Source organism: Homo sapiens, chromosome 10 (genome assembly GCF_000001405.40).
Source record: "Homo sapiens chromosome 10, GRCh38.p14 Primary Assembly".
In the NCBI taxonomy this organism is placed as follows: Eukaryota; Metazoa; Chordata; class Mammalia; order Primates; family Hominidae; genus Homo; species Homo sapiens.
This window is the reverse complement of record NC_000010.11, coordinates 102,124,018-102,145,835: the sequence shown is the minus strand read 5'-3', so window position 1 is coordinate 102,145,835 and position 21,818 is coordinate 102,124,018. Positions and strand designations below refer to the sequence as shown.

At 50.6% G+C, this 21,818-nt stretch overlaps 1 protein-coding gene across 25 annotated transcripts in view, besides 6 other annotated features; it reads right to left on the bottom strand.

Annotated features, from left to right (window-relative positions):
* PPRC1 (PPARG related coactivator 1) overlaps positions 1–21,818 on the bottom strand; it is a 30,445-nt gene that overhangs the window by 4,498 nt on the left and 4,129 nt on the right. For 3 of the 25 annotated variants that reach the window (XM_047424879.1, XM_024447914.2, XM_047424878.1), the window contains exons 3-9: positions 7,798–7,986; positions 7,071–7,217; positions 6,856–6,957; positions 3,832–6,736; positions 2,738–2,791; positions 1,529–1,586; positions 746–816 (exon numbers count right to left, since the gene is read on the bottom strand). In XM_047424879.1, the coding sequence (XP_047280835.1) occupies positions 746–816; positions 1,529–1,586; positions 2,738–2,791; positions 3,832–6,736; positions 6,856–6,957; positions 7,071–7,217; positions 7,798–7,902 (3,442 nt within the window). In that variant the 5' untranslated portion in view covers positions 7,903–7,986. Of the gene's footprint in view, positions 1–745; positions 817–1,528; positions 1,587–2,737; positions 2,792–3,831; positions 6,737–6,855; positions 6,958–7,070; positions 7,218–7,797; positions 7,987–11,993; positions 12,094–12,455; positions 12,797–20,119; positions 20,323–21,818 lie in introns of those variants that run through there. The other 22 variants (NM_001288727.2, XM_017015984.2, XM_047424887.1 and 19 more) reach the window with 16 other exon arrangements.
* Positions 6,399–7,598: an enhancer, noted in NCBI's record as "CDK7 strongly-dependent group 2 enhancer chr10:103897995-103899194 (GRCh37/hg19 assembly coordinates)". NCBI's record gives its function as "activates an origin of replication core promoter dependent on BRD2, BRD4, P300/CBP, MED14 and CDK7 cofactors, with strong dependence on CDK7, by STARR-seq in HCT116 cells {active_cell/tissue: HCT116}" and the evidence as "EXISTENCE:reporter gene assay evidence [ECO:0000049][PMID:35650434]".
* Positions 12,124–12,243: a silencer, noted in NCBI's record as "silent region_2750". NCBI's record gives its function as "represses an Ori minimal core promoter by ATAC-STARR-seq in GM12878 lymphoblastoid cells {active_cell/tissue: GM12878}" and the evidence as "EXISTENCE:reporter gene assay evidence [ECO:0000049][PMID:35858748]".
* Positions 12,274–12,323: a silencer, noted in NCBI's record as "silent region_2749". NCBI's record gives its function as "represses an Ori minimal core promoter by ATAC-STARR-seq in GM12878 lymphoblastoid cells {active_cell/tissue: GM12878}" and the evidence as "EXISTENCE:reporter gene assay evidence [ECO:0000049][PMID:35858748]".
* Positions 12,534–12,713: a silencer, noted in NCBI's record as "silent region_2748". NCBI's record gives its function as "represses an Ori minimal core promoter by ATAC-STARR-seq in GM12878 lymphoblastoid cells {active_cell/tissue: GM12878}" and the evidence as "EXISTENCE:reporter gene assay evidence [ECO:0000049][PMID:35858748]".
* Positions 12,694–12,973: an enhancer, noted in NCBI's record as "active region_3922". NCBI's record gives its function as "activates an Ori minimal core promoter by ATAC-STARR-seq in GM12878 lymphoblastoid cells {active_cell/tissue: GM12878}" and the evidence as "EXISTENCE:reporter gene assay evidence [ECO:0000049][PMID:35858748]".
* Positions 17,647–18,477: an enhancer, noted in NCBI's record as "H3K27ac-H3K4me1 hESC enhancer chr10:103887116-103887946 (GRCh37/hg19 assembly coordinates)". NCBI's record gives its function as "activates a minimal SCP1, AML or CMV promoter by ChIP-STARR-seq in naive H9 embryonic stem cells {active_cell/tissue: H9 hESC(naive)}" and the evidence as "EXISTENCE:reporter gene assay evidence [ECO:0000049][PMID:30033119]".

Below are 21,818 nucleotides of genomic sequence, written 5' to 3'. Positions count from 1 at the left end.
TGGAGGGCAGTGGCGCAATCTCAGCTCACTGCAAGCTCAACCTCCTGGGTTCACGCTATTCTCCTGCCTCAGCCTCCCAAGTAGCTGGGACTACAGGCACCCGCCATCACGCCCGGCTAATTTTTTTGTATTTTTAGTAGAGATGGGGTTTCACCATGTTAGCCAGGATGGTCTCGATCTCCTGACCTCGTGATCCACCTGCCTCGGCCTCCCCAAGTGCTGGGATTACAGGCGTGGGCCACCGCGCCCGACATTTTTTTTTTTTTTTAGATAGTCTTGCTCTGTCCCCCAGGCTGGAGTGCAGTGGCACGATCTCAGCTCCCTGCAACCTCCACCTCCTGGATTTTAGCAATTCTCCTGCCTCAGCCTCCCAAGTAGCTGGGACTACAGGCGTGTACCACCACGCCCAACTAATTTTTGTATTTTTTTTAGTAGAGATAGGGTTTCACCATGTTGGCCAGGCTGGTCTCGAACTCCTGACCTCAAGTGATCCGCCTGCCTCAGCCTCCCACAAGTGCTGGGATTACAGGCGCGAGCCACTGCGCCTAGCCCATAGGCTGTAACATAGCACCTGATACTCAACATGCTCATTCGTTTACAAGTCTGCCCCCTAGACTGTGAGTATCTCAAGGCTGGAGATCAGATCTCTATGTCCTTAACGCCTACACACAATGGATTTGGAGTAGGCTCAGCAAGTGTTGCTGCATAGACTAATCACAGGCAGAATTCCCCACCCTGAACCCACCTGCCACGTTGGCCAGTTCTGGGGCTTGTAACCGGTCTAGGGGCCTCTTCTCCTGGGGAATGTCAACGCCGCTGGCGGGGGGGGAAAAGGGAAAGCCTGATTCATTGCCTTCTCAATATCTTATACATTTGCCTTTCTCAGAAATCAATGGGAGGGGGTGGGTGCAGAGAAGAATGGGATGCACAAACTGCCTCCATCATCTTCTTCCTGCACAAAAGGGTCTTATTGACTGAACTACAAATTGGATCTCAACTGAGCCCTGCCCAATTCCAAGAGGCAGGCTGGCCATGACCTTGAATACCCCCCACCTCCTTCACATCGAGTCTCACCTGCCCAGCTCACACCAACCTGAAATCAATGTGGAGGGGAACATGCTTGGCAGAACAGGATGGAGGATCATGAACATGAAAAATGACTCCTAGCCATTAACATCTTCCTCCACTTTAAGTTACACCATTACCAGCACTGAGCAAACTTGAAGTGTTATTAAATGAAAGAAAGAAATCCCCAAAGGTATGACTTGCCAGGAGATAAAAGGCACCTCTAGGACATTTGGAGCCCGACTGGAATCAGCTGGAGGGCAGTGAACATGCCCCGTTCTCACCTCACCACCCAAGACACTGCCCGGTAGTGATAGGCAGAGTAAGGGGTGGGGAAACAGGGAAAGACTCTAGAGCTGACTACAGCGTCCCTGCAACAGAGGCATCCAGTTGACAGTCCTGGAGTGTCAGCCGGCTGCTGACTAACAGCTGTAGGGTAACTCGCTCATGTCTCCATACTTACCCTGAGTTTCCTACAGCCAAGCTGTCAGCAGGAGCCGGAGGAGGACACTCCTTTTTGGCTGCAAAGAAACCATACTAGTTAAAAGCCCAACCAGATGTTCTAGACTGAGGCGGCACAGAAGGGCTTGCTTTGAGACCCAAAGGAGGAAAATCCACTTTGCCTACATATTCCCTGTTGGGATCTCCCCAAAGAGATCTAGTCTCCTCCAGTGGATGCCCAAGTACTATTTTTAATCATGTCTCTTTTCTGCTCAGAAACACCCACATTCCTCCACTGAATCTGAGATAAAGTCCAAATGTATAAGCCTAGCGTTCAAGGTGATCTATGATCTGCCTAACTAGCTTCCTGGCCTCACAGCCTACTCTTGTTCTACAAATCACATTTTCTATTTTGCCTTGTTACCAACTCAGGAATCATTTCTGTAGATTCTTCTCCCCAGTTAGACCATAAGCTCCTTGAGAAGAAGATAGTGTCCTCCATAGCACCTACATCCACGCCTTATACTAAGAAAGCCAGCTATCCATTGCCTTTCAAATGTGCCATATGCCATTCTTCCTATACCTACCCTCTGCCTTTAGTTGCCACACATATTCTCTCTGTGAATTCCTACCTGTCTTTCAATGCCCAGCCTGAAAGCTACTTCCCTCTAGAAAAATGTCCCTAAACAACCCCAACCTGCTTGGATTCCTTTTTTTTTTTTTTTTTTTTTGAGACAGAGTCTCACCCTGTGGCCCAGGCTAGAGTGCAATGGCACGATCTCGGCTCACTGCAATCTCTGCCTGCTGGGTTCAAACAATTCTCCTGCCTCAGCCTCCCGAGTAACTGGGATTACAGGTGCCCGCCACCTCGCCCAGCTAATTTTTGTATTTTTAGTAGATACGGGGTTTCACCATGTTGGCCAGGCTGGTCTCAAACTCCTGACCTCATGATCCACCCGCCTCAGCTTCCCAGAGTGCTGGGATTACAGGCATGAGCCACCACGCCTGGCCTGGATTCCCAGTCTACTCTTTAATACCTTCCTTACTGTATCACTGCCGTCCCTGGCTTGGATTACCGTCACAGTTCAATCTTGTCTCTCTCTTCCAATTAGGGGTCTGCTCCAGTGGCTAAGGCTGTCCCCTCTCACCCTAGTTTAAGCAACTACAGGGCTGGGCCCAAAAAAGTATCACCAAAAAAAGAGTTGGAGCAAAACTACCCATGTTCCCTCACCTTCTGATTTCTCAAACTGCTCCAGCAGACTGGACAGGTCCGATGCCTCAATTCCTGTGGAGGCACACAACACAGGATTGAAAACGAGCCCCTATCAACTTAGTACACAGGTCCCAGGAAGCCCCCAAATCATCTCACTTCTCCCTTTCCACTCCCCCTGCCCTCTGTACTAAGTGAACCAAGGTAGCAGCACAAAGCATGAAGGATTCAAACCAACCCAGGGCTCTGCCTCTGAAGAACCCTCCACAGCCAGGCACGGTGGCACACACCTGTGCCTATAAATCCCAGCTACTTGGAAGGCTGAGGTGGGAGGACCACTTGAGCCCAGGAGTTCAAGTCCAGCCTGGGCAACACAGTGAGACCTCATCTCTTAAAAACAAAAACAGGCCAAGGGCGGTGGCTTACACCTGTAATCCCAGCACTTTGGGAGGCTGAGGCAGGCGGATCACGAGGTCAGGAGATTGAGACCAACCTGGCCAACATGGTGAAACCTCATCTCTGCTAAAAATACAAAAAGCCGGGCGTGGGTGTGAGTGCCTGTAATCCCAGCTACTGGGGAGGCTGAGGCAGGAGAATCGCTTGAACCCGGGAGGCGGAGGTTGCGGTGAGCCGAGATCACGCCACTGCACTCCAGCCTGGGCGACAGAGGAAGACTCCATCTCAAAAAAAAAAAAAAAAAAAAAAAAAAAAAAAAAAAAGGCATGGTGCAGCGGCTCACGCCTATAATCCCAGCACTTTGGGAGGCTGAGGTAGGCGGATCACGAGATCAGGAGATTGAGACCAACCTGGCCAACATAGTGAAACCTCGTCTCTACTAAAAATAGAAAAATTAGCCAGACGTGGTGGCGGGCACCTGTAGTCCCAGCTACTTGGGAGGCTGAGGCAGGAGAATTGCTTGAACCTGGGAGGCAGTGAGCCGAGATTGCACCACTGCACTCCAGCCTGGAGACAGAGCAAGACTCCATCTCAAAATAAAAACAAAAAAACTCCTCCAAAGAAATCCAACAAAGGCCAGCCTCATCAGGGTGGCTTATCCTATTCTAGAGTCCCCCAGCCAACTTGGGGACTACATGGGGGAACTGTGTGTCACTCACCAATCTCACTGATGAAAGCCTGTACCACATCTTCAGAACCCTGAGTACGTGGGGTAGGCAGGAAGGACAGCTTCCTTAGACGGGCTGGGTGGACAGCAGGCAGCTTGGGGACAGTGCTCTGCCTTGGTGTGGGAACAGCCTTGGTAGCAGGCAAGGGGGGCTTCTCCCTGGGCCTGGTCTCTTGGGTCTCAGGCTTTAGCCTCTCTGATGCAGGCTCCTCAACAGTCACACCTTCAGCAGACACACATGCTAGAGCCTTCATCTGGGGACTTTGCACCAGGGCAGACACCTTGTGTTTCGGATGGGGAGATGCAGGCACTGGCTTGACCTCCACCTTGGTAGGCTCTGTCTGAGGAGCTCCATGGCCAGGTAGCCCAAGACTGAGGGGAGGAGCCATCGACAAGGGAAGTACATTTTCAGGAGGGCCAGCTGGAGTGCCCCTAGACTCCATTTTAGGTTGGGGAACAGCTCTCCCAATGGAGGCTGGAGGCAAAGGAGGTGGGGGAACAGTAGACCAGAATGGAGCATGTTGAGGCCCTGGGCCCCATCCCAAGGGCCCATAGGTACATGTGGAACTGTAAGGTGAGACTGGGGCAGGAGGGGGTGCCCAAGGCACACTGCAAGTGGGAGGCACGGCATAGGCACCAGGAGTACCAGACACTAGGGGCACCGTTGGTGGGGGGGGCAGGCAAGGATAGCCAGAAGGGGACACATGAGGATAACAAGGCCAGGATGGCAAGGGGGCATAGTGAGTAAACGGATCAGGTAGTACTGGCCCCATAGACAATGGAAGACTAGGAGGCTGCAAGGGAGGTGGGGGCAGACTGGGGGGCATGCCAAGCCCACCTGCAGGGAAAGGCAGGGCAGCAGACATCGAGGGAGGTGTGGGCACAGCAGGGGACACAGACTGCACAGGAGGGGAAGGTCTCGCCAACAGTGGCATCTCCTGGGATGGCACCTGCTCAGTGGGAGATGAGGCCACAGGTTTGCTTACAGGTGGCTCAGGACTAGGAGAAGCAGGGCTGGGACCTACAGGCACAAGGCAAATCTCAAGGGGTGTTTCAGGGCTTCTCTGCAGAGCTGTCTTCTTGGCTGGGGCTGGTGGGATGACAAGACAAGGGATGTCTGCCAGCCCTGTGGGAGTCTCTGGAAGGCTAGGCCACTTCCCAGTTGGGGGCTGTGGACTTCTCTCTTCTGTTTCTGCTTGGCGTTGCTGCCTTCGTCGCCGGTACTCAGATAAGCTGAGAGGCCGAGGTCTGGCTTCATGGGTTGTAGCACTGGTACCACTTTCAATTTTCAGAGAATCCACAACCTCTTTGACTTCAGGGATGATGGTCTTTGGTGGGTCCAAGGACTCTGACTCCACGAGGAGCTGGGGTGCTGAACCCCCCAGGGCTGATGACACTGCACCACGTCTGGGATCAGTTGGTCTGGACTTAACTAGCACTGGGTCAACTGGAGTCAGGTCATTAGGAACAGGGTCAACCAGTGCTAGATCAACTGGTGCTGGGCCAGACGGGACAGCATCAACTGGTGGCAAGTTATCTGAGATGGGAACCACTGCAGGGTCAACTGCTGCTGAGTCAGCCAGGACTGGGTTGATCAGCACTGGCTCAGCCGGGAGAGGCTCAACCAGTTCTGAGCTGGTTGAAGCAAGGTCAACCAACCCAGGGTCAACAGGTACAGGGCCAGCTAGAACAGGGCCAACTGCAGTGGGATCAGCTTCAACAGAGTCAACTGGCATGGGGCTGGCTTGGGCAGAGTCGACCAATGAGAGATGGGTTGGTATAGGATTGGTTTGGATAGTGTCAGCCAGCTTTGGGTAGAGGTCTAGAGGGCCTTCTTTAGCAGGACTACTTTGTCCAGCACTTCTCTCCAAGTTCTTAGGGCTAGAATTCTCCAAGGCAGCTGCCCAGGCCCGAGCCCAAGCCCGGGGCTTCCCCTTACCCTGGAGAGGCCCAGACTCTTTTTGAAGTTCTTCCTGAGGCTGTTTCTGCAAGTTGTCTACCTGAGAGGTCACTTCTGTACCTACAGTAGACTGCCCGCGAGAAGATGACCTCAGCCTCCTGGCATAGCCTTCCACACAGGCTGCTGGCTGCTCCTTGCTCTTCTTCTTCCTGCCCTTTCGAGCTCTCTGGGAACCTGGTGCTGCATTGGCAGGTGGGTTCTGAGGCTCCTTGGGCACCACCGGCTCCACGACCTCCCTGGGCTTCAATAAGCAGGCTGAGTCCAGCTTCTCCTCTGAGTTCAATGACAACCCCTCTTTCTCAGAGCAGAGGGTTACCTTGGGCACAGCAGCCTCTGTCTCTGACTCCAGTGTAGGCATAAGCAGCTGCAAGGCAGAACTAGTCTCTAGCGAGTCATCCAGGAGCACAGGCCGGGGTCCAGGAGAGACCTGTCGCACCACAACTGGGATCTCCAGGTCATCGCCAGCTGTGGCTGCCTGCCCCACAATCTCCAGCACTACGCAGCCCTCAGGCAGTGTCAAATCATCTGGCTGCTCCTGAAGCTCATCCTCAAGTGATGCCAGGTGGGTGAGGTTGGGCAGGCAGTATGGGTGCATGGCCCGCACCAGCTCACTCAGGGAGGAGATGCTCTCATCACCAGCTGCTGGCACTGCCATCTCTGCTGCTGTTGCTTTATCTTCCTCCTCAGGGCAGGCCAAATGCATGGGGAAGTCCGGGATACTGCTCACACAGTTGTCAAGCTCCCCGGCAAGAATCTGGCCACTGAAGCTGGCCACCTCCTCCTCTTCTTCTCCATCACTGCGCTGCTGGGGAGGTGGGGATTGGCCCCAGCGTGGTCTTGATCTTGGGGGTCTCCAGCTAGGAAGCTTGGGGGAAGAGGTCTCTAAGAAAGAGGGTGGGGAGAAGTCCCAAGAGGGATCTGGAAGAGACATTTCAACCTGCAGGAGAGAAGAGAGGTCTCAGGAGGAGTTTTCTTTGGGAAAGTATTTTCCAGACCTGTCCCCACACACTCCTCCTCCCACCTGGGAGTTTCTGAAACCCTCTAGGTCAGGCTTACCCCACTCCCTCTACTGCTGCCTGTACTGGGCCCCAGTGGGTCAACTGGGGTGATGAGGTCACGTTCTGGGGGTGTCCGAGAGAGAGTAAGCAGCTTGTGCAGCTAAGAGGGAAAGAAAGACCTGAGATCAGTCTATGCTTCAGAGCTATATGAGTAGGTCCACAGGCATGGGTCTAAACTTTGTACTAATCCCCTTCCCCTGGTCCCACACTCACAGAGGAGCCCTCCCGGGGTGACACAAGCAGCTCCGAATCAGGAATGCTGTCAAATGGAGAAAGGTTCTCAGAATCTGCATTGTCCAAGATCTCCGTCAGAGCCGTGAGCAGCGACACTTCATTCTGGTCCTCCAGAGATAACCTGCTCTGCTCCAGAAAAACAACCAGAAGGTCCTACCAACATCCCTAATGACCTACTATGCCACTAAGGACTGGATATCGAGAGAATCAGTCTCCCAGGTTCAACTCAGCTAATGGGGCAGCGAGAAGGATCTGAATACCAGAAGGCATGGATTCCAATCTCAGCTACCATCCACCAGCTCTTGGTGTCAACAGAGACCTGTCAGACTTGACTCAAGCTTGGGTTTCACACATTCCCCTACCCTCAGATAAGATGTGGGATGCTCAGCAGACAACCATCGGCTAGGCTAGAAATGAGCTGAAAAACAGAGATCAGAATCCTCTGGACATGTAGTTCAGGGGCCCAGACAGTGGGAAAGGCCTTGGACTATAGTCTAAGCTAGGAAAGGAATTCTTACATGGGACATAATCTGGCAGCCTGCAGCCTAATTCCCACTTAGAGACAAAAAATACACTTCAAGGATTCAGGTTGGGCACCCAGGAAGAAGCTAAGGTCCTGGGAGAGCAGAGCCATGCCAAGAATTTGAGCTAGAACCTCCCATGTAAACCTCCTGCTTGAAGATTTCAGAGTCCAGCCCCAGCTCACCTCTCCAAGGCTCCCAAAATCCTCAATGAGGGAGATAAGGGAGGCATCCATGTAGCTCTGCATGGTCCCCAGCAGTGTCTCATCCTGCAGCATTAGCTCCTCCATTTCCAGGTCCTTGTCCCTCAGAGATGGGCCCAGCCGAGAGAGACTGACAAAGCCAGAATCACCCGCCTCCTCATGCAGCAGCACCTGGAGCAGAGAAGAAGGTGAGAAGGGTATGAGCTCTCTGGCAGCAGCTGATAATATGCTCCATAAATCAGGTACCCTCCACTGCTGGGGCCAAACTCAGCAGCAGCAACACTGTCGCCAAACTTCTGGGCTAGCAGAGCAGAGAGAAGCACAACCTATGAGCAAAAACCCCAATAAGGATGGCAGTTTTCAGGGACCTTCTGGGGCAGAAAAATGTTTGGGCTCCAACCAGAAACAGCTAGAGTCACAGATTAAAACCCGGGAGTAAAAACATCAGGAAAATCAAGATTGTTCAGAATCATCTACTGGCAGCAGTGAAGATAACAGTCTGAGGGGCACACCAAAGCAAAAGAGGTCAGCAAGGAGACAGCTTCAGCTCCAACAACCTCACCTACCTCAAATCCCATTTAGTTCTCTGCTTAGTGCAAATCCTACCTTCTTCAAGAAGACACCCCAGCTTCCCCAGCCCACGGTGATCTCTCCTCACAACTCTAAAATCACAGACTTTTCTGCAGCATTAACTTTTCTGGTAATCACACCCCACCCCCTACCCCCATCCCCATGACACTCATGGGTTCGGTCTCCTGGGTTCAAGCGATTCTCCTGCCTCAGCCTCCGGAGCAGCTGGGATTATAGGCGCCCACCACCACGCCCAGCTAATTTTTGTATTTTTAGTAGAGACAGGGTTTCACCTTATTGGCCAGGCTGGTCTCAAACTCCAAATCTCAAGTAATCCGCCCGACTCAGCCTCTGAAAGTGCTGTGATTACAGGCGTGAGCCGCCACGCCCGGCCGACACTTATTTTGAAGGCCCAACAGTGAGACACTCAACCTCTCAATGGTAATTCCAAGGGAAGGGCCTCTTCTCCACTCCTACCAGATGAGAGCAAGTGAAGAGAAAGCTTGATTCCCTAGATGGAAAGGCCCCGCCCCACACTCCTCTAAGAACTAGCAGCATTTACGGCCTCTCGTGTCAGGCATCAAGCAGCCCGCCCAGACCTGTCAAGAGTGTGGGTGTGGGCAGGGCCGGAAGGGACCAGAATGGTAGTGGTGAGGCCAGAGCCAGGGGGATCTCCACTACAGTAGTCCCCCCTTATCCTAGAGGGATACATTCCAAGATCCCCAGTAGATGCCTGAAACCACAGATACTACCAATACATTGGTATGTATTGATACAAACAATACATACCAACGATGAAGTTTAACTTATAAATTAAGCACAATAAGAAATTAATAATAAAATAGATTAAAACAATATACTATAATAAAAGTTATGCGAATGTGGGCTCTCTGGCTCTCAGAATATCTCACTGTACTGTACTCATGTATTTTTAGACCCCAGTTGACAGCAGGTTAACAGAAACTGTGGATAAGGGGAAACTACCGCATAGGAAACATGAAGTAAAAAGGCCTGAGAACAGGATCACATACAGACAGGCCAGACCTTCCCTTTCCTCTTCTGCAACAAAGTGAAATTCCGCACCACTTCCAAAAGAAAAAAGCAACAGGTGTCTTCCACACCCCCACCCCCCACACCCCGGCAATATATACCCTCCTAACAGAGCTGAGTACCAACGCCCAGGAAAAGGAAAGGCTGGTTAAGGACGCGTTAGGAGGCCAGGCCCAGAGAATAAGCAAAAAGTGGTAGGTTTTAGGCACTAACTCCTCCCAGGCCTTCACAATCCTATAATTACAAACCAGCAGCTGAATAGCACCTGGCTCTGCAAACACTCCAGGGTGAGCCAAGAGGCTGCAACTCCATTTGCTCTGCCACCACCTACCTACCAGAGCCCCAGCGACTAAGCTGGAATCTCAAGACAATGCCCAGCTCTCTATGAACCACTCATCTTCACCTCCATCAGGTGTCCAGTCAGAGACACACCCTCACACCTGACCTCACCCATCACTCAATTCCCAAACAGCACAGCTCCCAGAGTACCAAGATCATCCGAGTGCTAAGCCCAGGCTGAAAGTAAGCCAGCCATCAGCACCTCTAACTTCAAAAACCTCCCAAGTAGCTTTCACCCACCAAACCTGCTCCCTCCAGGGTTCAAAAACAGTCAGAAACTTTTTAAATATGTATCTGATCACTGCCTGAGACCCTCCCTAAATCCCTTCAATGGCATTTTACTGCTCTTAGCATTAGGTTTAAACTCTTTAATATAGCTTACAGGCCGGGTGTGGTGGCTCACGCCTGTAATCCCAGCACTTTGGGAGGCTGAGGTGGGTGGATCACTTGAGGTCAGGAGTTCAAGACCAGCCTGACCAATATGGTGAAACCCTGTCTCTACTAAAAATACAAAAATTAGCCATGTGTGGTGGTGCTTGCCTGTAATCCCTGCTACTCAGGAGTCTGAGGCAGGGGAATTGCATGAACCCAGGAGATGGAGGTTGCAGTGAGCCAAGATCACACCACTGCACTCCAACCTGGGTGACAAAGCAAGACTCCATTTCAAAAACAACAACAAAACAACAAAATATATATATATATAGCTTACAAAAGTCCTGTCTTCCCCACCAGACCTCTGCTCCAGCGTGTCCTCTCCCACTACTCTGTAGTACAGGTCTCGGTTTCTCCAATAAGCCATGCTCTCTTCCTCCTTGAGGGCTTCACTTTTCCCTGATTAAAGGTTTTCCACAGTTTTAACATCTCAGCTTTAAATGTCCCGTCTCAGACTCTGCAAAGTAGATCACTACTGCCAATTACATAATCCCAAATATCCTGCACTTTTGTCTCATTCATTATTATTTATCATCGGTCTATCCTGATTAAAACATAGATCCTGAGGGATAAAGACCATGTTTATGTGGTTTACCAGTTTGTCCCCTGTGCCTAAACATAATGGTATTTCAATAAATAACTGGCTGACTGACCAGCTCACATATACCCATCTTTGGTTTTCGGGGGAAGGGAATGACAATCTCTCCATGAGATCCTCTCCAATCCCAAATTACTACTTAACTATTATAGCTGGATCTTGGATCCTTCCTGACTCTCCCTGTGCTATTTGGGAATTCAGTGATGGGTGAGGTCAGGTGTGAGGGTGTGTCTCTGACTGGACACCTGATGGAGGTGAAGATGAATGGTTCATAGAGAGCTGGGCATTGCCTTGAGATTCTGGCCTAGACCCTGGGGCTCTGGTAGGTAGGCAGCACCAGCCCCAAAAGATGTGACCTCTGAGAAAGTAGGGGAGAAGGGATCAGCGCTCCCAAATTCTTGCCCCAGAAACCATTCTCCCCTGGGCAAGGGCCTGGATTGGTCTGCCGGACCTGATATTACCAGGCAGCCTGCAGCCCAACTCCCACCTAGTAACACACAAAAAATGCTGTCAAGGACTCAGCTTAATTGTTTAAGAGAGGTAACAGTTCAAACTAATTCCTGCCCCTTCTACCCTGGGTGGAAACTTTTAAGAAGCCCTCCACTGTAGAGTAGAACAATAACACTTTTTGAAGGCCAAGAAAAAAATATCTAACAGAATCCTCCTCATCCAGTGTATGTTCAACTGTTGAACATGTTGAACAGTTCTCAAACCGCCTCCAACTTTTCCCATCCCCAGCAAAAAATCCGAAGAGCCTTAAGTACGGACCACCCCAGTTTCTGCGTGTCAGATTACAGGAGCATGCCTTCCCAAAAGAGATGCTGGAGGAAAAAGTGAGGAGAGGATTCCCTTTCCCTTTCTTAACCTTGTCCCAGGTGTATGTTGACACTCCCCATACCCCTTGAATCACTAATAAGGCAAGACTGCAAGGCAACCAAAACGCCAATGCCCGTGACTCACAACCCACCCCAAGCCGGTCAGACGGAAGCGCCACAAACTCACTCCTCCACAACCCTTCAGCCTCAGCCCTCTACCCTCCCCATCACACTCAGCCATCCGCAGGGAACAAACTCCCGCAACATCTGGAGAGTCCTTCACCATCCGCAGTGGAGAGACGTTGCGGACCCAAGCAGCAGGGAAAAAAAAAACCTCCAAGGCTCTGAACAAAGTTGACTCTAGCAGCCCTTACCTTCCTTCCCGGCCCGGGCCTCCAGCCCCGGCAGGAGATGGCGGGACCCGTGGAGACACACCCAGTTCGCGTCAGCCAGGCTCCAAGGCCGATACTAGATGCCCGACAGCCTGGGACGGGAGCCACGTGGACGTTCCTTCCCCGCCCCCACGTGGACCCGCTGCCTGCGCCCCCCTCCACCAGGAGCCCGACCCACGTGGATGCCCGGGCCGCCTAGAGGGGGAGGGGAGGCAGACAAGTTCTCCCGGGAAAATTGCTCCCCCAACCCCACGTGGCTCCGAAAAGGGAACTGCGGCGCCGGGCTCGGGGAGCCTCACTGGGCATCCTTACATGGAGGTCTCAGCCTTCGACCCCAAGTCCGAACCCCTGACCCCCAGCCGCGGGTTATGTTTCCGACACCCCGCTCTCCCCCTCCGGCGTCCCCCAGGAATGGCCGTAGAGACGCTGCCTCTGCCCGCCTACCCCCAGCAAACGGCCTAGGGCCCACTTGCTCCGGCCCGGCTCCCGCGGCCACCCGGCATCGACTCTCAGGCGCTTCCTCTCTTTCCTGTGGCGTCCACGTGTCACCGCCCGGCACACACCGCTTTGCTGCCTGTCGCGGGCCGCCAGCCAACCTCTCACCTGCTCGCCGCCGCTCACAGCGCCCAAAGTCCCATACGGCGCTTGGCTTCGACTTCCCCAACCACTGCCGCGGGCTCCCCCGCCAGGGTCCGGACCGGGGCCCCCACTCGGGGGCGGCGCGACTCCGTCTCTCCGTCCCCGGCGCGCCGCCATCTTGGCCCCTGAACACCCAGCGCTGCTCTGATCGCTGGCGCCGCCTCGCCCAGCCGATTGTGGGAAAGGAACTACAACTCCCGAATGACACTGCAAGACTACGAATCCCAGAGAGCCGTGCGGCGAGACCCACTTGCACCCTGGAAGAAGGCCCTGGCCTCGCGCGAAGGTTCCTGGGAGTAGTAGTCCCTTTAAGTGGGGACCGTTTGGCACTAGCTGCAGGCATCCTGTAGGGCTTAGTTTTGCGTTACACTGGGATACCGATTTAGGGAGCGCTCAGCAGTTAGGGGGAAAGTTAACATTTGCGTATTTTATTGTCGTTAACTTGTCCAACTGTTGGAACGTCCTCTTTGACGTTCTACCTGCTGTACGTTCCTTTCACCTTAGTCCAAGTGGGGCCAAGTGGGCCTGTATATGTTTTGAAACACCACCCCCTAGTGGGCACTTGCGCTCCAAGCGCTAATCCTCACCTAATCCCATATTGCGGCAGTACTGCAAACTTAATCGGAAAATGTCGCGTTCTCCGCCCTCTCTGCTACTACTCAGAAACTTACGTTGCCTTCTCTATCAAATTTGTTTCTTGCTGTTTCAGGTCTCCTTGCTGTTCCCTAAAGACAACAGGTGTTCTCCTGCCTATATGTCGACCTGGAATACTTGAACCTCAAAACATTTCATGCCTTATTTAATCTAGGAAAGGCTTTGGTTGTCCTAGCCAAGAGGGATCCCGCTCTGCGTTTCTACGGTCCATCACTGTCTCTACTCTTCATTCATTTGCCACTTAAAAGCTACTTCATATTTGCTATTTTTAAATAACTTTTTACAAAGCACAAAAATTATTTCAAAAAGTACAAGACTGTTTAGAGGAAAAAAAGTAGTAGGCCTGCAAATTATAGTTCTACTGCCCAGATTTAAACCCCTTGTTACTTTTAGTGTGTATTCATTGACGCTTTTTTCTATGAATGGAAAAATATATAGGGGCACAAATTGGTGATTTGCTTTTTTTATGTAACAATATGTTAATCCACTCACTAGCTAAATATTTACTGAGCCTTTAGCACCAGTTCTATTTTATGAATGTATTGTTATTTAAATTATATTGAAGTTGTTTCTGGCCGTGGCTCGGTGACTCACACTTGTAGTCCCAGCACTTTGGGAGGCTGAAGTGGGTGAATCACTTGAACTAAGGAGTTTGAGACCAGCCTGGACAACATGGCAAAACCCCACCTCTACCAAAAATTTAAAAATTAGCTGGACATGGTGGCACACATCTGTGGTCCCAGCTACTCGGGAGGCCGAGGCAGGAGGATTGCTTGAACCCAGGAGGTGGAGGTTGTAGTGAGCCAAGATCATGCCACAGCACTCCAACTTGGGTGACAGAGTGAGACTTCTTCTCAAAAATAAATAATATTTAAGTTGTTTACAGTTTCTCACTATTACATATTATTATGATGAACACCCTTGCATATGTCATGTACATGTACCTTTGCACTTTTGTGCAATCTTTCTGTGGAATAGTTTCCATGAAATTCAAGTGCCGAGTTAAACAATGCATGTATTTGAAATACAGTAGAAAATTGCCCTTTAGAAATATTGCATCACTATACATCCCCACACATGTTCATGAAAAGAGAGGACCTTTTCTGGACCTTTTCTTAGATGTTCTTTCTTTTTTTTTTTTTTGTTAGACAATAGGGTTTTACTCTGTCACCCAGGGCTGCAGTGTGGAGTGCGGTGAGCAAGAGTGCCGTGGCAGATCATAGCATAGCTCACTGTGATCTCTCAAGCTCAAAGGATCCATCTGCCTCAGCCTCCAGAGTAGCTGGGTACTACAGGTACACACTGCCATGCCCAGCTAATTTTTTTTTTTTTTTTTTTGAGATGGAGTGTCACTCTGTCACCAGGCTGGAGTGCAGTGGCGCGATCTTGGCTCACTGCAACCTCCACCTCCCAGGTTCAAGTGATTCTCCTGCCTCAGCCTCCCGAGTAGGTGGGACTACAGGTGCCCACCACCACACCCAGCTAATTTGTTTTTGTATTTTTAGTAGAGACAGGGTTTCACCATGTTGGCCAGGACGGTCTCGATCTCTTGACCTCGTGATTTGCCTGCCTCGGCCTCCCAAAGTGCTGGGATTACAGGGGTGAGCCACCACGCCTGGCCATGCCCAGCTAATTTTTTGGGGGTTCTTGGGGGGTCTCACATCTTGCCCAGGCTGTTCTCCAACTCTTAGCCTCAGAAGATCCTCCTGCCTTGGCCTCCCAATGTGTTGGGATTACAGGTGTCAGCCAGTGTGCCTGGCTGTTTAGTTGTTTCTTTTGTTTTGTTTTTTGTGTGTGAGATGGAGTTTCACTCTTGTCACCCAGGCTGGAGTGCAATGGCGCAATCTCGGCTCACCGCAACCTCCGCCTCCCAGGTTCAAGTGATTCTTGTGCCTCAGCCTCCTGAGTAGCTGGGGTTACAGGCATGTGCCACCACGCCCAGCTAATTTTGTATTTTTAGTAGAGAGGGGGTTTCTCCATGTTGGTCTGGCTGGTCTCAAACTCCTGACCTCAGGTGATCTGCCTGCCTCAGCCTCCCAAAGTTCTGGGATTACGGGCGTGAGCCACTGCGCCCAGCCCTGTTTAGTTGTTTTTTTTTTTTTTTTTTTTTTTTTTGAGAAGGATTCTTGCTCTGTCACCCAGGCTGGAGTGCAGTGGCGCGATCTCGGCTCACTGCAAGCTCTGCCTCCCGGGTTCATGCCATTTTCCTGCCTCAGCCTCCCCAGCAGCTGGGACTACAGGCACCTGCCACCACGCCTGGCTAATTTTTTTGTATATTTAGTAGAGATGGGGTTTCACCATGTTAACCAGGATGGTCTCGATTTCCTGATCTCGTGATCTGCCCATCTTGGCCTCCCAAAGTGCTGGGATTACAGGCATGAGCCACAGCGCCCAGCCTAATTGTTTCTTAATTAGTTGTTTCAGGTGAATTAACTTTGTCTTCTCAAAAAGGCTTTAAAAGCCACTAATTTGGAAACTGAGTCTTGTTCACAGTTTTCTGTATAAAATAGTCATATGAGGAGCAACAATAAAGTTTGAAATAAAGTTGCCTATGAGCAGCCAGCAAGATTAATACAGATGGCATAGTTTTTCCTGTGTGGAAGATGCATACTCTAAAAGATGCTCTAAGGCTGGGCACAGTGGCTCACGCCTGTAATTACAACACTTTGGGAGGCCGAGGCAGGCGGATCACCGAGGTCAGGAATTCAAGACCAGCCTGGCCAACATGGCAAAACCCTGTCTCTACTAAAAATACAAAAATTAGCCAAGCGTGGTGGCGCCTACCTGTAATCCCAGCTACTCAGGAGGCTGAGGCAGGGAGAATCGCTTGAACCCGGGAGGCAGAGGTTGCAGTGAGCCAAGATCACGCTGCTGCACTCCAGCCTGGGCGACGGGGCGAGACTCCATCTCAAAATAAATAAGTAAATAAAAATTAAAAAAAAATAAAATGCTACTGGTTTATGGTGATAAGGCTTTGAGAGGAAGACTAATATAAAAGAAAGCGGAACGTTTTGCCACTTTTTTGCTTTATTCAGCATCTGAAGAAACAATCTATTCATCTAAGTCTGGTGTCTCCATAAAATCTACTCAAAAAAGGTAATATATCTCTGGGTCTTCAGTGCCACCTGAACAGGGGTGTTGTGACTACTAGTCCTTAAGTGCATTCCTAATGACCATGAAGGAAAACCTTAGAGCCATAGGCCACCAAAAACTGGGAACCTCCAATCGTTTGTCCTTTTCTGACTCCATGCTCGCCAAAGACTCATCTGATTATAATAACTGACTTATAATTTTCTGTGGAGGTCAGGCATGGTGGTGCACACCTGTAATCCCAGCACTTTGGGAGGCCGAGGCGGGCGGATCACGAGGTCAGGAGATCGAGACCATCCTGGCTAACACAGTGAAACCCCGTCTCTACTAAAAAACACAAAAAAATTAGCCGGGCGTGGTGGCGGGCGCCTGTAGTCCCAGCTACGCGGGAGGCTGAGGCAGGAGAATGGCGTGAACCCGGGAGGCGGAGCTTGCAGTGAGCCGAGATCGCGCCACTGCACTCCAGCCTGGGTGACAGAGCGAGACTCCGTCTCAAAAAAAAAAAAAAAAAAAAAAAAGACTGCCGCTGGCCGGGCATGGTGGCTCAGGCCTGTAATCCCAGCACTTTGGGAGGCCGAGGCGGGCGGATCACGAGGTCAGGAGATCGAGACCATCCTGGCTAACATGGTGAAACCCCGTCTCTACCAAAAATACAAAAAATTAGCCCGGCATGGTGGTGGGTGCCTGTAGTGCCAGCTACTCAGGAGGCTGAGGCAGGAGAATGGCAGGTGAACCCAGGAGGCAGAGCTTGCAGTGAGCCGAGATTGCACCACTGCACTCCAGCCTGGGCGACACAGCAAGACTCTTAAAAAAAAAAAGAAAAAAAAAAAAAGACTGCAGCTGTGGGCTTAGGGGCTCCTATTTTCTGTCTCTCTCTGTCTCTCTTGCTCTCTCTTTCTCCCTCTTTTGGATCTCTTGCTCTGGGGAAATCAAAGTGCCATGTTATAAGCAGTACTATGGAGAGGCCCACATGGCAAAAAAATGGAAGCTTTTAGAGGGGCGGGGTGCGGTGGCTCATGCCTGTAATCCCAGCACTTTGGGAGGCTGAGGTGGGCAGATCAAATGTGGGAGGTCAGGAGATGGAGACCATTCTGGCCAACATGGTGAAACCCCGTCTCTACTAAAAATACAAAAATTAGCTGGGCGTGGTGGCACGTGCCTGTAATCCCAGATACTCGGGAGGCTGAGGCAGCAGAATCGCTTGAACCAGGGAGTCGGAGGTTGCAGTGAGCTGAGATCGCACCACTGCATTCCAACCTCATGACAGAGCAAGACTCTGTCTCAAAAAAAAAAAAAGCAGCAGCAGCTTCTGACCAAAAACCAGTGAAGAACTGAGGCTGGCCAACAACCATGACAGTGAGCTTGGAAGCAGATTCTCCAACACCAGTCAAGCCTTAAGATGACTACATCCTGGCTGGCCATTTGACTGCAACCTTGTGAGAAATCTTAAACCAGCTAGGTGCGGCAACTCACACCTGTAATCCCAATACTTTAGGAGGCCAAGATGGGAGGATCGCTTGAGCCCAGGAGTTCAAGACCACTCTGGGACACATAGCGAAACCCCTGTCTCTAGAAAAAATTTAAAAAATAGGCTGGGCTCGGTGGCTCACGCCTGTAATCCCAGCACTTTGGGAGGCCGAGATGGGCAGATTGCCTGAGCTCAGGAGTTCATGACCAGTTTGGGCAACATGGTGAAACCCCGTCTCTACTAAAATACAAAAAAAATCAGCTGGGCAGGCCGGGCGTGGTGACTCTCGCCTGTAATCCCAGCACTTTGGGAGGCTGAGGCAGGTGGATCACAAGGTCAGGAGATCAAGACTACCCTGACTAACACAGTGAAACCCCGTCTCTACTAAAAATACAAAAAATTAGCCGGGCGTGGTAGCACTTGCCTGTAATCCCAGCTACTCGGGAGGCTGAGATGAGAGGATCACTTGAACCCAGCAGGTGGATGTTGCAGTGAGCCGAGATCGTGCAACTGTACTCCAGCTGAGATTGCGCCACTGCACTTCAACCTTGAGACAGAGCAAGACTCTATCACAATGTATTTTATTTTATTTATTTTTTTGAGACGGAGTCTCACTCTGCTGCCCAGGCTGGAGTGCAGTGGCGTGGTCTCAGCCCACTGAACCTCTGCCTCCCAGGTTCAAGCGATTCTCCTACCTCAGCCTCCTGAGTAGCCGGGATTACAGGCTTGTGCCCCCACACCTGCCTAATTTTTGTATTTTTAGTAGAGACAAGGTTTCACCATGTTGGCCAGGCTGATCTTGAACTCCTGACCTCAGGTGATCTGCCCACCTCAGCCTCCCAAAGTGCTGGGATTACAGGCTTGAGCCACCATGCCTGACCTCTGTCTCAATTTTTTTTTAATTTATATATATATATATATATATATATATATATATATATATATATATATATGATAAAAAACCATATTCCTTGGTTCTCCAGAAATATGATTTAGTTCATCCAAGGATGGTGCCTTCTCCATGGTTAACAAGTTTCCTGGGAATTTCTTACATACTTTGAGAAACTGCTTTGGCAGAAAAATGACTGATGTTTGTAAATAATGATGTTGATGATGATAGCAAATGGACAAGAGGGGAGGAGTCACGTGTCAGGGCAAGGGACGATCTATAAAAATTGCTGTAATCATTCAACAAAAGTTACAGTTCACGGCTGCGGCTGGGTGTGGTGTCTTACACCTGTAATCCTAGCATTTTGGGAGGCCGAGGCAGGCGGATCACCTGAGGTCAGGAGTTCAAGACCAGCCTAGCCAACATGATGAAACCCTGTCTCTTCTAAAAATATAAAAATTAGCTGGGCATGGTGGTGGATGCTTGTAATCCCAGCTACGTGGGAGGCTGAGGCAGGAGAATCGCTTGAACCCAGGAGGCAGAGGTTGCACTGAGCTGAGATCGCACCACCGCACTCCAACCTGGGCAACAGAGCAAGACTCCATCTCAAAAAAAAAAAAAAAAAAGTTATAGTTCACAAACTAGGTTCCAGGTACTCTGTTAGATGCTGGAGGTTTGGCCGTCCATAAGACATATATCATCTGCTGTCTGTTTGGAGAAAGATTCATCCTTTTTTTTTTCTTTTGAGTCAGTCTCACTCTGTCATTCAAGCTAAAGTACAATAGTGCAATCTCAGTTCACTGCTGTCTCAAACTCTTGGGCTCAAGTGATCCTCCCTCTTCAGCCTCCTGAGTTTCTAGGATTACATGTGTGAGCCATAGCATCCAGGTCAAGATTCATCCTTGAAAGACAGAGTGATGCCAAGCCGGGCGCGGTGGCTCATGCCTGTAATCCCAGCACTTTGGGAGGCCAAGGCGGGTGGATCACCTGAGGTCAGGAATTCGAGATGAGCCTGACCAACATGGTGAAACCCCTACTCTACTAAATACAAAATATTAGCCGGGCATGGTGGTGCATGCCTGTAGTCCCAGCTACTTGGGAGGCTGAGGCAGGAGAATTGCTTGAACCCGGGAGGCGGAGGTTGCAGTGAGCCGAGATTGTGCCACTGCACTCCAGCCTGGGCAACAAGAGCGAAACTCTGTCTAAAAAAAAAAAAAAAAGAAAAGAAAGAAAGACAGAGTGGTGCCAATAACTAGTTGAAGGAATTTCAAGGGTGAGAGAAATATAAGAGAAAATATAGAAGGCCAAGGTCAGCAGAGGGAGTTGGATGGGAGCGGTTCTAGGAGTTGGGACAAACAGGGGGCTTACCTCTATTGGAATGAGTCTAGCCAGTTGCTTCTGCTGTCTGCCTTTTTGTAAGGCTCCTCTTCCCTTCCCCTTTCCTAATCTTAATCTCTTCTCAGTACCTCCTGCCTGTGTCCAGAGTCCATCTTGCACTAATGACTAGTATTGAAAAATACTAAAAGTGGCTGGGCACGGTGGCTCACCCCTGTAATCCCAGCACTTTGGGAGGCTGAGGCAGGCGGATCATGAGGTCAAGAGATCGAGATCATCCTGGCCATCATGGTGAAACCCCGTCTCTACTAAAATACAAAAGATTTGGCCAGGTGTGGTGGCTCATGCCTATAATCCCAGCTACTCAGGAGGCTGAGGCAGGGGAATTGCTTCAACCCAGGAGGCGGAGGTTGCAGTGAGTTGAGATAGTGCCACTGCACTCCAGCCTGGTGACAGAGCAAGACTCTGTCTCAAAAAAAAAAAAAAAAAAAATTAACTGGGTGTGGTGGCACACACCTGTAGTACCAGCTACTTGGGAGGCTGAGGCAGGAGAATCGCTTGAACTGGGGAGGCAGAGGTTGCAGTGAGCTGAGATCAAGCCACTGCATTCAGCCTGGTGACAGAGCGAGACTCTGTCTCAAAAATAAATAAATAAATAAATAATACTAGAGGCTTGGTGTGGTACGGGCCTGTAGTCCCAGACATTCAGAAGGCTGAGGCAAGAGGACTGCTTGAGCCCAGGAGTCCGAGTCCAGCCTGGGCAACACAGCAAGACTATAAAATAAAAAACAAAAAACAAGGGCCAGGGTCAGGCAGTGGCTCATGTCTGTAATCCCAGCACATTGGAAGGTCAAGGCAGGAGGATCACTTGAGGCCAGCCAGAAGTTCAATACCAGCCTGGCTAACAGCAAGAAACCTGTCTCTACAAAAAATAAAAAAGTTAGTTGGACACAGTGGTGTGTACCTATAGTCCTAGCTACTTGGGAGGCTGAGGCAGGAGAACTGCTTAAGCCCAGAAGTTTGAGGCTGCAGTTACCTATGACCATATCACTGCACTCCAGCCTGGGTGACAGAGCAAGATTCTGTCTCAAAAAAAAAAAAAAAAAAATGGCCAGGCACAGTGGCTCACGCCTGTAATCCCAACACTTTGGGAGGCCGAGGCGGGTGAATCACTTGGAGGCCAACATGGTGAAACCCCATCTCTACTAAAAATACAAAATTAGCCAAGTGTGGTGGTGCGCGCCTGTAATCCCAGCTACTCCGGAGGCTGAGGCAAGAGAATCACTTCAACCCGGGAGGCGGAGGTTAAAGTGAGCTGAGATTGCACCACTGCACTCCAGCCTGGGCAACAGAGTGAGACTGTCTCAACAAGAAAGAAAAGAAAGAAGGCCGGGCGCGGTGGCTCACATCTGTAATCCCAGCACTTTGGGAGGCCAAGGCAGGCAGATCACAAGGTCAGGAGTTCGAGACCAGCCTGACTAACATGGCGAAACCCCATCTCTACTAAAAATACAAAAATTAGCCAGGTGTGGTGGTGGTGCCTGTAATCCTAGCTACTCAGGAGACTGAGGCAGGAGAATCGCTTGAACCTGGGAGGCGGCGGTTGCAGTGAACTGAGATCGTGCCACTGCAATCCAGTCTGGGCGACAAGAGCGAGACTCTGTCTAAAAAAAAAAAAGAATAAAGTTTAAAAATAAAAAGCTAGAATGCCTCTGAATTGATCATTTAAAAA